This window comes from Homo sapiens, chromosome 1, assembly GCF_000001405.40.
Source record: "Homo sapiens chromosome 1, GRCh38.p14 Primary Assembly".
Classification (NCBI taxonomy): Eukaryota; Metazoa; Chordata; class Mammalia; order Primates; family Hominidae; genus Homo; species Homo sapiens.
The window spans coordinates 50,797,781-50,817,254 of NC_000001.11; the positions used below are offsets into that span (position 1 = coordinate 50,797,781).

The 19,474-nt window shown below is 36.6% G+C and overlaps 1 protein-coding gene across 4 annotated transcripts in view; it reads right to left on the minus strand.

Annotated features, from left to right (window-relative positions):
* Positions 1-19,474, minus strand: part of FAF1 (Fas associated factor 1) — a 523,240-nt gene that overhangs the window by 360,753 nt on the left and 143,013 nt on the right. For all 4 annotated transcript variants that reach the window (NM_007051.3, XM_047442745.1, XM_047442743.1 and 1 more), the window contains one exon: positions 3,851-3,897. In NM_007051.3, the coding sequence (NP_008982.1) occupies positions 3,851-3,897 (47 nt within the window). The remainder of the gene's footprint in view (positions 1-3,850; positions 3,898-19,474) is intronic.

Genomic DNA, 19,474 nt, shown 5'->3' on the forward strand with positions numbered 1-19,474 from the left:
AGATTGCTTGAGCTCAGGAGGAGTTCAAGTCCAGCCTAAGCAGCATAGCAAGACCTTAAAAATAAATAAATATAAAAATAACACCGATTTGGAAGCTCTATGTAGAAATCTATTTTAGTTCTAAAACTTCAACCAAATAAGTGTTTTTATCCTTACTCAACTTTCCTCTACAAACAACTCAGGCTCTTGGAAGGCAATGAACAGAAAGAAAACTAAACAGGAACTCTGCACTTGTTTATTATTTCAATTCTTTAAAGTCCATGCCATGGCAAAATTTTTAGGCACCTCCTTAAAAAAAAAAAAAAACTCCGCATTTATTTTAGAGATAAACTTGTGAATCAAATCAGATTTTTTAAATGGAAATTAGACAAAGCAATACATAGAAACTAACTGGCTATAATGGCTATTTTTTAAGTACAAAACCTGGGCATTTACATATTCTGAAAGCCTAATGGTCAAGGTTTGAAAATAAACATCTTCTCTAGGTGTTCTCAATGAATTAAACAATGGACAAATGAACAAATTGTACACCTGTCTGGGTAATAAAACAAATATGAGTTAATAAATACCATCCACTTAGTGAGTGGCTAAAATTATGCTATTAATTTATAAAGTTTACTTTTAGAAAACATAGCATCAGCTCTCCAGTTATACAAGTAATTCACTAACATTTCTTCCTAAAAATATCTCCAAAAACAATTTTTAAAGAGGCTCTGGACAATATGTTAAATAAATAATATACTGGACCATGTAAATACACAGACTCAGTGTCTGTTTATGACTGAATGAATAGTTTACATTTATGACTGCATAAGTTACACATAGTATGCTGTGTTAGCAATATACTGTCTCATGAAATAAGCCTTGGAGAAAGAGTCAGAAGACTTGCTTATATTCCTGACTCCATCAACATCAGGCTGTATCATCTGGGCCAAGTCACTTTATGACTTATCCTATCTACCTGTAAAATGAGGAAGAATAATATCTGCCTTTAATAGCTTACGACTAAAATAATAACTATAAAAAACCAAGCTGTGGAAGACAGACATTATGTACATGTATTGGATTTCACCTTCTTTACCCAAAATAAAAATCTTTTTCTGTTCGTGTTTTTTTTAAGATGGAGTCTCACTCTGTCACCTAGGCTGGAGTGCAGTGGTGCAATCTTGGCTCACTGCAACCTTGGCCTCCCAGGTTCAAGTTGTATTTTTAGTAGAGACAGGGTTTTACCATGTTGGCCAGGCTGGTCTTGAACTCCTGACCGCGAGTGATCTGCCAGCCTCGGCCTCCCAAAGTGCTGGAATTATAGGCGTGAGCTACCACGCCCAGCTCTCAAAGGAAAAATCTTAAAAGTTTGGAAATACCTCACTGACTGATCTTGAAGAAGACAGAGTAATAGAGAGGATAGAGCATGGCTTTTAAAATAAGACAATCTAGACTTCACTACCTGCTTCTATGCTTGTGAACTTGGGCAAGTCTATGTAAACTCTCTAACTTTGAATTTCCTCATATGTAAAATGTAAACATTTACCTCTTACAGGTTGTAGTGAGTATTAAATGAAGAAAAATATGTCAATTGCCCAGCACACTGCCTTAAGCATTCAAAAAAAAGTTTCTTTCCCTTGGAGTTTATGGTTACATTAAAAATCATATACCCTCTTGGATTCACACAAAAACCTGATTTCAAGAAAAGCTATAAGGCACACACTGGCTCTTCTTTCTCTTAAAAAAAAAAAGAAACTTCTTTAGATTGCAGATAATTAGTACAGTTTTTTGTTTTGAATAATCTCTGGTCAAAGGAATTTAGTATCAACACATGTATCAGTGAGGTGGGTATTTATTTCCTACCAAAAGTTCATTATCTCATGAGAATATTGCTTTATATAGTAATTTATTTAAACTATAGTATTTGATACCTCCTTTCTTTGTTAAGGGATGGACTAACAATTTAACAGTCAGATGTATACACAGACTGCATATATTCGACTTTATTATAAAAACCAAACATACAAAACAAAGATCCTTTTAACTGCCTGCATATACCATTTCCAGCATCGTGCCTTCTACTTTCAGTGTTCAGCTTATAAGAAAGTACACAAAGAGCCCTCTTTTGTTTTCCTCTGGTCAGTAGACATACAAGAGGAATTTTCAGTTATGTTAAATCCACAATGATTTCAAAGCTAAAGAACAAGGTTAGGAAGGAAATAGTTGAAGAATATTACTAGATACAACTGATTTTCTCATGTAGACATATGTTTCATTCCTTCAAAAAAAGCAAACAAAACCAACAAAATCCTACTCTGATCACAGTTCAACCCCAAATATTATAGTAACTTTATGAGAAATCAGTTTAATACTGAATTTCTAGTCATAAAATATATTAAATAAAAAGTATAATCTGTGACAGGAAAGATGGAATGTTTCCAGGGGAGAAGAAGTTTCTACAGTTCACCTATGGCAAATGCTATTAATTGGATGATATATCCAATATGTACTCAGAATCCAGTAGCTGAACCCACAGATTTTGCATAGCAAAAATTTTGGCACAAAAAGTGGCAATAACATTTACTCAAAAATAAAACTGGAGTGATATTTAGCAGTGTGAAACTTTCTAAACTAAGAAAAAAATAGCCATAAAGGAAGTTCATCTGGTTTGCTTTCTAGACAAGGGCTTCGATAGAATTGAATGCTCTGGAACAAACAACAACAAACTAAAGATTAAACAAACAGAAGTTGGTAGAAACTCTAGAAATCTGCCACATTTACTCTGGATGAAAATCTTTCTGACAGTTTAGAAGAGAGGAACGGGGGTATAGGTCTATTTTATCATTGCTTTCATCTAAAAACCATCAACCATTAAAGGTGGTACAGGTATCAAACAAATTTTGCTTCCATCCTAAATATATGGTTTCTTATCAAGAACAGCATGTCTTGCAGTTCATGGTGAACTTCCTGATGTTTCTGCAAGAGTACTTTTCTTGCTCTCCAAAACGACCTCATTCCTAATCTGCTGTTTCTGTTCGCCTCATCCGCACTTACCAGATCATGCTTCAGTGACTTAGAAATCCCAGCCACCAAAATTCAAGCCAATGTTTGAATTGAGAGGAAAGGGGGGAAAATCAAGTAATTAAACTACACTTGGAAGGGAGAATGGTTTTACCTCCTAAGACTTTATAAAGTGTTCTTTAATTCAGAACCAGAGTCTCCAATTTTAAGGAGACAAAAGTTATGAATTTATTTTTAACTCAAGCAATTACATTGCAACTATTATAATTCTCTTGGCCACATCTTCCAGTTTTACCTTCTGGCCATAACACAAAACCTCTAAAACCATTCCACTTGTTAACACTGGATACTTCAAGTAAAATAGTTCAGTACTCTGAAGAGTTGCATTATTAAGAACTGCCTCAAATTGTTGCAAATTATCATATACTTGATTTAGAACCCAAAAGGGAAGGAGAAAAAGTCTGTAGTAAGCCTGGAGATAAAGCCTGTATAGTTAAGTTTGATAACCATATTCTGGGGTTAGTAAACCAATAGCCAGTGCTAATAGTTTAAAAAATTCAGTTCCTTTCATCTTATAAATCAAAGGATAAGCTTGAAAAGCTTTCTTAAAAATTAAAACCACCTTAAAAGATGGTGTTACCAAATATGCAATAATTTTATACAGTTAAAAGTTGGAGACTTTGGGGAATTAATATAACACATAGAAATATCTGAAAGAACAATGTTAATGAACTTATATACCCCAAATCAATGCTCTATTAAAAAATAAAACAAAAAAATTAACAGCTAGCTCTGTTCTTTGTTCTGCTAAGTCATCTTAACTGGTAAGCACTTTATAACATACCTTTGTAGAATGCCATTTTCCTGTGGTATTACACCATTGATAGCTGCCTGCAAACAAGAAACAGAGAAGGCCATTTAAAGAAACAGATAAATGCCCAAGTGTGGTGGAGAACACTTTAAAAGGAAATAAGTATATTTTTAAAAATGTATTTAAACATAATACTAATTTTTTTAGTGATGCAAAATGTTGTCTATTAAATGTTTCTATATTTCTCAGTTATAAAATTGTATTTTAGAAAATTTAAAAACATGCATTTGACATGTAATATCCCCAAACCTTGAGTCATAAAGTCTAGTTCCACAGTTCTGATTCAGGCAAAACACTCACAGAACCCAAAGTTTAAGGATGTCAAAACAGGAAAAATCAGTAACTTCATCTTATAAACATTATTTCCTTTGTCAAACTCAGAAGAGCAAGATGTAAAATCACAAATGAATGTATTATTTCATGTTATGATTACTATTCTTTTTTTTTTTTGAGATGGAGTTTCACTCTTGTTGCCCAGGCTGGAGTGCAATGGTGCAATCTCAACTCACCACAACCTCCGCCTCCCAGGTTCAAGCAATTCTCCTGCCTCAGCCTCCTGAATAGCTAGGATTACAGGCATGTGCCACTACGCCCAGCTAACTATGTATTTTTAGTAGAGACAGGGTTTCTCCATGTTGGTCAGGCGGGTCTCGAACTCCCAACCTCAGGTGATCCACCCGCCTCGGCCTCCCAAAGTGCTGGGATTACAGGCATGAGCCACCGCGCCCGGCCATTATATTCCTAATGAAAAGAACATTGAGAAGAAAATAATATAGAGGCAAAAGTCATTCAATAAACCTAACACCATGACTATTAACAGGTAACAAAAGGAGGTAGCATTAGAGGAGAGGTTTCCTTATATAAAACATCCCTAAAATTAATCTCTGAGCTAACAAGTTACCAAGTAGTCAGAACATAGCACAGGTATGACAGGACATGTATGTTTTTGAAGGCTATTAAGCAAGCAGGCTGTCGAATCCTGGAATGTAGACAGCTTACTGCAGGGTAACAGAGAATATTCTCAGGAAAACAAAACAAAAACAAACAAACAACAACATAAGCCCAACTTTTCCAACTCTGTCTTTATACCATAACAACTTCTCCTTCCCTACCCTTCCGTATCCACATCAAAATGAATAACCCACAAAAACAAAAAACACCTACCAATTCAATGTTTTATCAGCTGCCTGGAAATCAACTGCCAAAAGGAGTTTGGGTATTTTGTGAAATACTAACTTAAGTATTTGCCACAGTTTTGTCAAATTCACACCATCGTACTGTTGAATGGAAATAAATAGAGTGTAGGGTGTTTGCTATGAATTTTGAGAGCTGTAATGTTCCAGTGGAAAAATAAAACAAATCCATAGATTAACATAGACAATAGATACCACAGAACCCTGACGACTCTGGAGGCTTGTAAATCCTTTGAGTAAAGCAAATGCTAAAATCAGTTTTCAAAGACACAAATTCAGTGGAAGTATTTCTGCCCAGTATCAAGTTAACTATCCTCTTTTGGTCAACAGCATTGGTTCCATGTACATGTATCTCCTTTACTAAGTAACAGTAAATGGTTAAGAGAATGCTCTGTGGTGCTGGAAAAGAAACAAAATACCAGAGCTTAGAAAGATTTGGTTCAAATCTTTCAAAAAACATTTTCACTGAGGAATGCCAAAGTATAATGGGAAGAATACTAAGGACTCAGAAAGTCTAAAGTCTGAAACCAGGCTCTCCCATTTATTAATTTTGTAACCTTAGTATATTCACTGAACTTATCTGAGCCTCAGTTTCCTTATCTGTGTAATACGTAATTGTATAATGAGCTAAACATTACATACTCAGCCACAAAAGTCCTACCTTTTTGTTTCTCAAAGGCCTGTCTGGCATAGTGTCTGCACAATAAAGGCACTCAATAATTATTTATTAAAGGAATTAATAATAGAGGAATACAAAGAAAAGTCACCTATTCAAGACTTAAAGCAGGCTCAGAAACACCTGGATAAAATAATGCCTCACCTGAGGCTGAAGAATGAGTGAAAAGTAGCAAGATGGGGAGGGGATTCTATACAGAAGGAACAGTGATACAAATCCACTTTTCAACCCTTTCCTTTCCCAAAACCTTAGATTATTAAATAGTTAATTTATCTTGGAGAAGTTAGCAAGTGACCTCAATCTTATGTACAGCAAACTCTGTACATAAATAAATAAAATGTAATCCAGAATAAAGGTACAATAAAAGTATAATTTGGTAAAGGAATAGAGAATAGGGAAACAGATTTTTGACTGTGATGATTAAGGAAAACTTTAGGGAAGAGGGAACATTTGATCTATGCTTCAAACAATGGGAAGATACAGAAGCAAAGGAAAATTCCAGATTCCAACATGTTCAATTTTGAACATGTTAACTTTCAGGTCACAGGAGAATATCAATTGTTCATATAATAAATGTGTATTAATTGCCAACTATGTACCAAGCACTATGCTAGACAATTAAGACATAGTGATGAACATAAGACAGCTTGCCTTCTACGTAGGACCAAGTATATTCAACAATTAGTTTTACTATGAAAAATTCAGCTAATACCAAAATGGAGATGTCCAAAAAGTAACTGAAAAATCACAGCTACGTTCAAGAAAGCAACATCTGCTTAAAGGCAAATAAACGAAGCCCTAGAAATATTTTAATTCACTCCCTCACTCAGCTATCTTCTTTGTTGAAGAAAAAGGAGATGAAGATAAAATCTGGAGTAATTCATTAAAAACAAAACAAATAAAAATAAAAATGTAAAGGACAGACAGGAGGAAAAAGACTGGGAAAGTGTTACAGAGGAGGCAAAGAAGAAACTATAAGGAGCTATTACACAAAAGCTAGAAAATCTGAAAATACACTAAAATTATGAGGCCTAAGGTTATTAGACATAGTTTAAAACAGTTTAACAATAACTAAATTATAAAAGCTAAAAAGATACATGGGAAACTAAGAATAATTGACTCTCTTAAAACATTTGTGTGAAAAGCATAAAGACAGAAACTGTAAGAAGAACAGCTGCAGTAAGTTTTTGTTTGCTTTTTTTCCCTCCATAAGAATATTGATTTCTTGAGTTTATAGAATCCACAGGAAAGAGAGACAAAAAAAGCCACAAGAAACAGGGATAAAATTGAAAGTTTGGTTAAATACAACACTCTTACCAATTGCCTATTCATTGCCAAGCACTACGCACTACTTTGTGGATAGCCCAGTACCTGATCTAGGGCTCAGGAGAGGGGCTCAGATGGAGGGGATACTTTTAGAAAAGAGATCAATAAGATCTGGACTGTAGACTAAAAATTATACTGAGTTTATTATAAGAACTATATCACTTGCTAAATACTAACTATCTCATTGCTTAATATTATTTTTGCTAGGAAGATATTATATCTCTCACTCTATAATAGGAAAATGATAGACTGATTAAATATTTGGTCAAAATAATAGAGAACAGAATCAGGACAATATCTCCATTTCTGAGACTGACTCAAACAACTATGGTGGATCATTATCATACTGTAATGTATTTTAAGAAGAACATCTTGCCTTGACCTAGTTTATACTCATTTGAAACTCCATTTTGGTATAACTATTACTGCCTTCATGCTAATTATGTTCATATTTTTAATCCAATTAATGTACCTCAATCAAAATCCAGCCCCTAAATTCTGTTTAGCAAAACTGACAACGAAAACAATACCCTCTAAAATGCCATCTTCCATAGCACACTAAAAGGCATGTAAGGTATGCATAAAATACAGTGGAAGCCAATGTCAGAGATGACCAAAGGAGCCTTAACAAAAGGGGAAAATCATGACATTCATGGTGGGCTTTAGACCTTTTGGGGGAAGGAAATGGCAAAAATTTCTATAAATCTCATTGTAACATCACATATGAAAGGAAACCAAGTCACTGGTAAATTGGTAGATTACAAAACAGTGGCATGTAATATAAATCATACCCTACATGGAATGCTAGGATATCCTTTCTCTAATATACAGAAAATCTTAACTTTAGTCCTTTTTTGTAAACAAAAGACCCTTAAAGAAAATGGCAATGACAAATTTTTAAGAGGAATGAAGATGAGACAGGGATGTAGAGACAGCATCCAAAAGCCTCAAAAATAACTTATGAGTAAAGGAGTTGTGGTAACAATAATGGCAGCTAACACTGTACCATTTTTATTAAATGTGAGGCATTTTCAAAGTACATTACATATATCAATTCATTTAACTCTCACATTACCTCAATTTTACAGAGAAGGACACCAAGAAAACAAAGAAGAAAACTGTCACAACAATGGGTAGGCAAATGATGAAAAATAAAGAATTGCTAAATTGGACATTAAAATTCATAGTGTTTGCCCTTTGAAAGATACCATTAAGAAAATAAAAAGACAAGCTGCAGACTAGGAAAAAGTATTTATAATACATGTATCTGAGATAGATTTATATTAAAAATTTATAAAAATTCTGGAGACTTAACAAGACAAGTCAATAAGAAAATGGGGGAAAGTCAATAAGAAAATGGGGGAGACAGACACTTCTCAAAAGAAGGTATGTGAATGATGAAAAGCACATAAAAAGATATTCAAATTAGTCATCAAACAAATACAAGCTAAAACCACAATAAGATACCACCACACACCCAATGGTTAAATTAAATCAGATAATACAAGTATTAGCAATAATATCAAGCAACAGAACATCTCATACACTGTACAAACAACTTTCAAAACTGTGTGATAGTTTGATATACAGGTAAACATGTGACGGAGGCAGCCGACACCAGTGGAAGCACATACCACAGCCCTGCTTCCACCACTACCCCACTCCATTTTATGTATGTGCACCCTGCCACACTACCACAGCTGCTGAAACACAAATGAACGCAGAGCCCACTAACCCGCTGAGACAAAGGGCATTGGCTAGCACCACCCATGGAGGTGTCATGGCCAGAGGATTGGGAACATCTCAGAAGCTCCAGTACAGCATGTTCCTAACCTCAAGAGTCCAGACAAGAATGCCGGGGGCCTGGTGTCAGGCCCCTAAAGTGAGAGCATGAAGCCTAGGAGGGATGAGCTTAGCCCTAGCTCCCTAAAATCTTTCACAAAGGAAGTGACTTCACTGAACTCACCTTATACTACAATTAAACCTCCAAATGCATCAAAGAAGACAAAAGCAAAAAAACAAACAAACAAACACATTCAAAGGATTAGCATTTTCAAAGATTGAAGGAATATCACCCACAATGATGAGAAGGTACCAGTGCAGCAAGAACTCTGGCAACTCAAAAAAGCACAGTGTCTTCTCACCTAAAAACAACCACACTAATTCCCCAGTACTGGGTCTTAACCAGACTGAATGGCTGAAACGAAAGAAACAGAATTGAAAGTATAAATAGAAACAAAAATCATCTGGATTCAAGAGAATGTTGAAACCCAATAAAAGGATTCTAAGGAATACAATAAAATAATACAGGAGATAAAAGACAAATGGCAATTGTAAGAAAGAATCTGATAGAGCTGAAAGACTCCAACAATTTTAAAACACGGTCACAGGTGTATTAGTTCATTCTCACACTGATATAAAGAATTACTTCAGACTGGGTAATTTATAAAGAAAAGAGGTTTAATTGACTCACAGTTCCACAGGCTGTATAGAAGGCATGGCTGGGAAGTCCTCAGGAAACTTACAGTAATGCCGGTAGGGCGAAGGGGAAGCAAGCACATCTTCACATGGCAGCAGGAGAGACAGAGAGACTCAAGGGGGAAGTGCCACACACTTTTAAACTATCAGATCTCATGAGAACTCATTATCATGAGAACACTGGGGGTAAATCCACCCCCATGGTCCAATCACCTCCCACCAGGTCCCTCCCCCAACATTGGGAATTACAATTCAACATGGGATTTGGGTGGGGACACAGAGGCAAACAATATGAACAAATATTAACAGCAGGAAATCAACCAAAGAGAGGAAAGAATCTCAGAGTCTGAAGACCAGTTCTCCAAAATAATTCAGTCAGACAAAAATTAAAAAAAGAGATTCAAGAATAAACAAAGCCTCCAAGAAATATGGGATTATCTAAAGAGACCAAATCTACATCTCATTGGCATCCCTAAAAGAGAAAGCAAGAAACATGGAAAACATGTTTTAGAGTGTCATTCATGAAATTTTTTCCAACCTTGCTAAACATGCCAACATTCAAATTCAGGAAATGCACAGAACCCCTGCAAGGTACTATAAAAGACGACCTTGCCCAAGACAGAGTAATCAGATTCTCTAAGATCAAAGTGAAAGATAAAATATTAAAGGCAGCTAGGAAGAAGGAGGTCACCAAAAAAGAAACTTCCTCAGGTTAACAGTGGAACTTTCAGCAGAAACCCTACAAGCCAGAAGAGATTGAGGGATTATATTCAGCATTCTTAAAGAAAAAAAATTCCAACCAAGAATTCCATATACAGCCAAACTAAAATAAGCTTCATAAGAAAAGGATAAATAAGATCCTTTTCAGACAAGCAAATGCTAAGGGAATTTGTTACCACTAGACCTGACTTACCAGAACTCCTTAAGGGAGTGCTAAATATGGAAAAGAAAGACTAATACAGGCCATCATAAAAACACACTTAAGTACATAGATCACTGATAATATAAAGCAACCGCACAATTAAGATGCGTAACAACCAGGTAACAACAAGATGACAGGATAAATCCTCACCTATTAATATTAACCTCGTATGTAAATGGGTTAATGCCCTAATTAAAAGGCACAGACTGGCAAGTTGGATAAGGAAGCAAGACCTAACTGTATGCTGTCATCAAGAGACCCATCACACATATAAATGCAAGAGACCTATCACACCCACAGGCTCAAAGTAAACAGAGAAAAATCTACCAAGCAAACAAAAACTCAACAAAGCAGAGGTTGCTGTTCTAATTTCAGATAAAACACACTTTAAATCAATAAAGATTTAAAAAAAAAAAAAAAACTTTTCTCCCTAACACTGCTTTAGCTATATCCCAGAGTTTCTGATATATTGTATATCTGATCTCATTAGTTTCAAAGAATTTCTTGAATTCTGCCTCTATTTTATTGTTTACCCAAAGTCAATCAGGAGCAGGTTAACTTCCATTAAATTGTATGTTTTTGAGTGATTTTTGGATCATTCAAAATACTAGCAAAACAAATCCAGCAGCACATCCAGTAAGGGCATTACATAATGCTGAAGGGTTTAATTCAACAAGAAGACCTAACTATCCTAAATATATATGCACCAAACACAGAAGCACCCAGATTCAAACAGCAAATACTTAGAGATCAATGAAGAGACTTAGTAACCACACAATAATATATAGGAGACTTCAACACTCTACTGACATTATTAGACAGATCATCAAAGATACAATATATCAGAAACTCTGGGACATAGCTAAAGCAATGTTAGGAGAAAAGTTTATAGCGCTGAACACCCACAGCAAAAAGTTAGAAAGACCTCAAATTAACAACCTAACATCACACCTTGAATTAAAGAAACAAGAGGAAACCAACCACAAAGCTAGCAGAATAACCAAAATCAAAGCTGAAATGAAGGAAACTGAGACATGAAAACAGCATATAAAAGATCAATAAGGTCAAGAGTTAGTTCCTTGAAAGAATAAATAAAACTGACATAATAACTAGCTAGACTAATGAAGAAAAAAAAGATAAAAGCTCCAAATGAACACAATAAAAAATAACAAAGGGAACATTACCACCAAATCCAGAGAAATACAAAGAACACTCAGAGACTGCTATGAACATCTCTCTATGCACAAAGGCTAGAAAACGTAGAAAAAATGAATAAATCTCTGGAAACATACAACCTCCCAAGATTGGATCATGAAGAAACTGAATCTCTGAACAGACCAATAATAAATTATGAAATTGAATGACTAATAATAAGCCTACCAATGAAAAAAAGGCCAGGACCAGACACAGTCATTCACAGCCAAATTCTACCAGATGTATATAGAAGATCTGATACCATTCTTAGTGAAACTATTCCAAATATTTAAGAAAGAAAGACTCCTCCCTAACTCACTGTTTGAGGCCAGCATCATCCTGACACCAAAACCTGGCATATTTCAACAAAATATGAAAGCTTCAGGCCAATATCATTGATGAACACAGATGCAAATATCCTTGACAAAATACTAGCAAACCAAATTCAGCAGCATATCCAAAAGCTAATGCTTTATGATCAAGTGGGCCCTGGGATACAAGGTTGGTTTAATACACACAAATCAATTGGCTTGGCGCAGTGGCTCATGCCTGTAATCCCAGCACTTTGGGAGGCTGAGGCCCGTGGATCACATGAGGTCAGCAGTTCGAGACCAGCCTGACCAGCATGGTGAAACCCCATCTCTACTGAAAATACAAAATTAGCCAGGAGTGGTGGTGCATGCCTGTAGTCCCAGCTACTTGGGAGGCTGATGCAGGAGAAATGCTTGAACCTGGGAGACAGAGGTTGCAGTGAACCAAGATTGCACCATTGCACTCCAGCCTGGGCAACAAGAGCGAGACTCTGTCTCAAAACTAAAAAAATTAAAAAAAATACACAAATCAATTAATGTGATTTACCACATAAACAGAACTAAAAACAAAACAACATGATCATCTCAAGATACAGAAAAGGCTTTCAATAAAATTCACCATCCTTCATGTTAAAAAACCCTCAACAAACTAGGCACTGAAGGAGCACACTTCAAAATAATACAAACCCATCTATGACAAATCCATAGCCAACATCACACTGAATGGGCAAAAGATGGAAGCATTCCCCTTGAAAACCTGAACAAGAAAAGGATGCCCTCTCTCACTACTCTATTCAACATGGCACTGGAAGTCCTATCCAGAGCAATCAGGCAAGAGAAAGAAATAAAAGGCATCCAAATAGAAAGAGAGGAAGTCAAACTATCTCTGTTTGCAGATGATATGATTGCAAACCTAGAAAACCTCATAGTTTCTGTCCAAAAGCTACTAACTCTGATAAACAACTCCAGCAACATTTCAGAATATAAAATTAAGGTACAAAAATGGTCAGGCCAGGCACGGTGATTCACACCTGTAATCCCAGCACTCTGGGAGGCCGAGATGGGTGTATCACTTGAGTCCAAGAGTTTGAGGCCAGCGTGGCCAACATGGTGAGACCCCGTCTCTACTGAAAACACAAAAATTAGCCTGGCATGGTGGCACCTGTGGTCCCAGCCATTCAGGAGGCTGAGGCAGGAGAATCGCTTAAGCCTGGATGGCAGAGGTTGCAGAGAGGTGAGATCGTGCCACTGTTCCAGCCTGGGTGACAGAGTGAGACTCTGTCTCAAAAAACATGGACCAGGCATGGTGGCTCATGGCTGTAATTCCAGCACTTTGGGAGGCTGAGGCAAGAGGATTGCTTGAGCTCAGGAGTTCAAGACCAGTGTGAGCAACATGGCATAACCCCGTCTCTATAAAAAAATACAGAAATAATTAGCCAGGCAAGGGAGTGTGCATCTGTAGTCCCAACTACTCAGGAGACTGACATGGGAAGATCACTTGGGCCCAGGAGGCAGAGGTTGCAGTGAGCCAAGATCGAATTACTGCACTCCAGCTTGAGTAACAGAGGGGTCAAACAACAAAAACAACAACAGCAAAAACAACAAGAACAACAAAACCAATATACAAAAATTAGTAGCATTTCTATATACCTACAATGTCCAAGCTGAGAGTCAATACAAGAATGCAATTCCACTTACAATAGCCACAAAGAAAATGAAATACCCTAGGAATACAGCTAACTAGGGGAGGTGAAAGATCTCTGTAATGAGAATTACAAAAGATTGCTCAAAGGTATCACACATGACACAAAGAAAGGAAAAAACATTTCATGCTCATCAATAGGAAGAATCAATATTGTGAAAATGGCCACACTGCCTAAAGCAATTTACAGATTCAGTGCTATTCGTATCAAACTACCAAGGACATTCTTCACATAATTAGAAAAGACTATTTTAAAATTCATATGGAACCAAAAAGGAGCCTGAGTAGCCAAGACAATCCTAAGCAAAAAGAGCCTAAGCAAAAAACTGGAGGCACCACATTACCTGACTTCAAACTATACCATAAAGCTGCAGTAACCATTACAGCATGGTACTGATACAAAAACACATAGACCCATGGAACAGAATAGAGAGCCAAGAAACAATGCCACACTCCAACAACCACCAGATCTTTGATAAAGGTAACAAAAATAAGCAATGGGGAAAGGACTCCCTGTTCAATAAATGGTGTTGGGGTAGCTGGTTAGTCATATACAGAAGACTGAAACTGGGCCCCTTCCATACAGCATATACAAAAATCAACTCAAGATGAATTAAAGACTCAAATGTAAAACCTAAAACCTCAAAGATAACCTAGGAGATACCATTCTGGACCTAAGTCCTGGCAAAGATTTCATGACAAACACGCCAAAAGCAACTGCAACAAAAACAAAAAATGACCAATGAGACATATTTAAACTAGAGAGCTTCTGCACAGCAAAAGAAACTATTAACAGAGTAATCACACAACCAATGGAATGGGAGAAAATATTTGCAACCTACAGAATGGGAGAAGATATACGTATCCAAAAAAGGTCTAATATCCAGAATCTATAAGAAACTTAAACAACTTAATGAGCAAAAAACAAACAACCCCATTAAAAAGTGGGCAAATGACATGATCAAACACTTTTCAAAAGAAGACATACATGCAGCCAGAAAGCATACGAAAAAATGCTCAATATCACTAATCATTAGAGAAATGCAAATCAAAACCACAAGAGAAACCATCTCATATCAGTCAGAATGGCTATTATTTAAATCTCTAAAAATAAAAGGTGCTGGTGAGGTAGCAGAGAAAAGGGAGTGCTTACATGCTGTTGGTGGCAATGTAACTTAGTTCAGCCATTCTGGAAACCAGTTCGGCAATTTCTCAAAGAACTTAAGAAAGAATTACCATTCGACCCCACCATCATTACTGCGTATATACCCAAAGGCATATAAATTGTTCTACCATAAAGATACATGCGTGTATCTGTTCATCACAGCACTATTCACCATAGCAAAGACATGGAATCAACCTAAATGCTCATCAAGGGTGGACTGGAAAAGAAAATATGGTACATTTAGACCACAGAATAACTACCCAGCCATAAAAATGAGCAACAATATGTCCTTTGCAGCAACACGGATGGTGCTGGAGGCCATTATCCCAAACTAACGCAGGTACAGAAAACCAAACATAGTGTGTTCTCACTTATAAGTAGGAGGTAAATACTCAGTTACATAGATACAAAGAAGGGAGCAACAGACACTGGGGCCTCCTTGAGAGTGGCGGGTGGGAGGAAGGTGAGGACAGAAAACTACCTATCAGGTACTATGCTTATTAGTGATTAATTAATCTGTACTCCACACCTCTGTGACACACAATTTTCCTATATAAGAAACCTGCACATGTACTCTTGAATGTAAAATAAATTTTAAAAAAAAGAAAAGCACAGGGGAAAAATTGAAAAAAAATTTCATTTTTTAAATTATTAAACTTATACATACTTATTGCAGAAGAAATCAGAAAATAGAGAAAAGTATAAAGAAGAAAATTTCACTGAGAGGAAAACCATTGCTAATATTTTAGTGTATATCCTTCCAGTCTTTTTTCCTCCTGCATACACATTTTTCCAAAAATGAGATCTTACTATATGTGCTATTTTATGCTTTCCTTTTAAAAAAATTTTTTTTTGAGACAAGGTCTCCCTCTGTTGCCCATGTTGGAGTGTAGTGGCACAATCATAGCTCACTGCAGCCTCAACCTCCATGGCTGAAGCAATCCTCCCACCTCAGCCTCCTGAGTAGCTCGGACTACAGGCAAGCACCACCATGCCCAACTAATTTTAAAAATTTTTTTGTAGAGACGGAGTTTCACCATGTTGTTGAGGCTTGTCTCAAATTCCTAGGCTCAAGTGACTCTCTCGCCTTGACCTCCCAAAGTGCTGGATGCTTTATGCTTTTCATTTAACACTGTATTGTCGGCATCTCTCCATACCACTCAGAATAAATCCACAGCTTCATTTAAAAAAAAAAAATGACCTAGCAATTCCACTCTTAAGTATTTATCCTGAAGAAAATGAAAACATATGCTCCAAAGATTCATACTATAGTTCCTCTTTGTCTTCAGGGAATACATTACAAGACACTCAGAAGATGTCTGAAACTACAGATAGTACCACACCATATATATATACTATGTTTTTTACCTATACATATAGTTATGATAAACTTTAATTTATAAATTAGGTACAGTAAGATATTAACAGCAATAATAATATAGAACAACTGTAACAATATATTGTAATAAAAGTTATGTGAATGTGGTCTTTCCCTCCCTAAATATCTCACTGTACTATACTGCAGGTAACTGAAACCACCAATAAGGGAAGACAACTCTATACTAATATGCATAGCTGCATATAAGGCATAATATGCCTAGGCAAAGTAATACTAGGTATAATATTAGCCTAATATTATAGCTGCATATTATATGTACAGTATACATAGTAAGTATGCATATTAGTGTATGCTATATTGCAAAATAACATTAGGCATCATATTACTAATATTATACCCAATAATTAGAAGCAAACCAGATGCCCAACTACAGACAAATGTTGTTTTGGATATATCATATTGTGTGGGTACAATAAAATAAAAAACAAACCGACTACAGATAAATTCAAAAAAACAAACCAACTACAGATACATTCATCTACATGGCTGTATCTCAAAAACATTATAGATATTCAAAAAACAAGCCAATTATAGATATATTCAACTACATGTATGTATCTCAAAAACATTATGCTAAGCGAATAGTTAGATACGTAAGAGTAAATACTAACTCAAAACAAACAAAAACCAACAACCTTATTTAAAAAATGGGCAAAGGACTTGAATAGACATTTCTCCAAAGACATACAAATGGCCAATAAGTACATGGAAAGATGCCCAACATCACTAATCATTAAAGATGCTGAGCTCCACAAATCATTAGAGAAAAGCAAATCAAAACTACAATGAGATACCACCTCACACCCATTAGGATGGCTACTATCACACACACATACACACACAAAACCAGAAGATAAGTGTTGGCAAGATGTGGAGAAATTAAAACCCTTTTGTACTGCTGATGGGAATGTAAAATGGTATCGCTGCTGTCGCAAACAATATGACATTTCCTCAAAAAGTTAAAAAGAGAATTATCATATGGTGCAGCAATTCCACTTCTGGGTATACAATAAAAAGAATTAAAAGCAGTCTCTTAAAAAGATATTTTAAAATTATTTTTAATAATTTCAATAATTATTTTAGATTCCGGGGGTACATCTGCCGATTTGTTACATGGCTATATTGCATGATGCTGAGGTTTGGTGTATGACTGATCCCAGGTCGTGAGCAGAGTACCTAATAGGTACTTTTTCAACCCCTGTCCACCTCCCCTCTCTCCCCTCTAGTAATCCCGTGTCTATTGTTGCCATCTTTATGTCCCTGAGTACCCAGTGTTTAGCTCCTGCTTACGTGAGAATGTGCTTTGGTCCTGAGTTAATTCGCTTAGGATTATGGCCTCCAGCTGCATCCATGTTACTGTAAAGGACATAATTTCATTCTTTTTTATGGCTGCATAATATCCCATGGTGTATATGTACCATATTTTCATTATCCACTCTGTTGATGGACACCTAGATTGATTCCATGTCTTCGCTATGGTGAATACTGCTGTGATGAACACATTTTGGTAGAAAGATGTATTTTCCTCTGGATATATACCTAGTAATAGCATTGCTGGGTAGAACGGCAGTTCTTTTTAAGTTCTTTGAGAAATCTCTAAACTGCGTTCCACAGTGGATAAACTAATTTACATTTCTACCAACAGGGTATAAGTGTTTCCTTTTCCCTATAGCTTCATCAGCATCTGTTATTTTTTTACTTTTAGTAATAGCCATTCTGGCTGGGCACGGTGGCTCATGCCTGTAATCCCAGCACTTTGGGAGGCCGAGACGGGCGGATCACTTGAGGTTAGGAGTTCGAGACCAGCCTGGCCAACATGGTGAAACCCTGTCTCTACTAAAAATACCAAAGAAGTTAGCCAGGCATGGTGGTGCATGCCTGTAGCCCCAGCTACTCTGGGGGCTGAGGCAGGAGAATCGCTTGAACCTGGGAGGTAGAGGTTGCAGTGAGCTGAGATCAAGGTACAGCACTCCAGCCTAGGCGATAGAGTGAGATTCCGTCTTAAAAAAAAAAAAAAAAATTTTAAAAAAGCCATTCTTCCTGGTGTGAGATGGAATCTCCTAGTTTTGATTTGCATTTCTCTGAATATTAGTGATTTTTTTTTCATGTTGTTGGCCATTATACGTCTTATTTTGAGAAGCGGTCATTCACGTCTTTTGCCCACTTTTTTTTTTCCTTTTTCTTTTTTTTTTTTTTTTTGAGACGGAGTCTTGCTCTGTCGCCCAGGCTGGAGTGCAGAGGCGCGATCTCGGCTCACTGCAAGCTCCACCTCCCGTGTTCACGCCATTCTCCTGCCTCAGCCTCCCGAGTAGCTGGGAGTACAGGCGCCTGCCACTATGCCCGGCTAATTTTTTGTATTTCTAGTAGAGATGGGGTTTCACCGTGTTAGCCAGGATGGTTTCAATCTCCTGACCTCGTGATCCTTCCGCCTCGGCCTCCCAAAGTGCTGGGATTACAGGCGTGAGCCACCACGCCTGGCTTTTGCCCACTTTTTAACGGGGCTATTTGTTTTTTAGCTTGTTCAAATTTTTAAGTCCTTTGTAAATCCTGGATATTAGGCCTTTGTCAGGTGCATATGTTGCGAATATTTTTCTCCCATTCTGTAGGTTGTTTGTTTACTATATTGATAGCTTCTTTTGCTCGGCAGAAGCTCTTTAGTTTAATTAGGTTTCACTTGTCAATTTTTGTTTCGGTTGCAAATGCTTTTGAGGACTTAGTCATAATTCTTTGCCAAGACCGATGTTTAGAATGGCATTTCCTAGGTTTTCTTCTAGATTCTTATAGTTTGGGGTCTTACATTTAATTCTTTCATCCATCCTAATTTAGTTTTTGTGTATGGTGAATGGTAGGGGTCTACTTTCATTTTTTTCTGAATACGGCTAACCAGCTATCCTAGCACCATTTATTGACTAAGGAGTCCTTTCTTCGTTGCTTATTTTTGTTAACTGGTTGAAGATTAGATGGCTGTAGGTGTGCAGCATTATTTCTGGGTTCTTCACTCTGCTCCCTAGGTCTATGTGTCTGTTTTTGTACTAGTACCATGGCGTTACGGTTACTTTAGTCTTACAGTATATTTTGAAGTCGGGTAATGTGATGCCTCCAACTTTGTTCTTTTTGCTCAGGATGGCTTTGGCTATTCATAAAAGAGATAATCTTACACCCATGTTTGTATGTTCATAGGAGCATTATTTACGATAGATAAAACATGGAAGCAACCCAAGTGTCAATCAA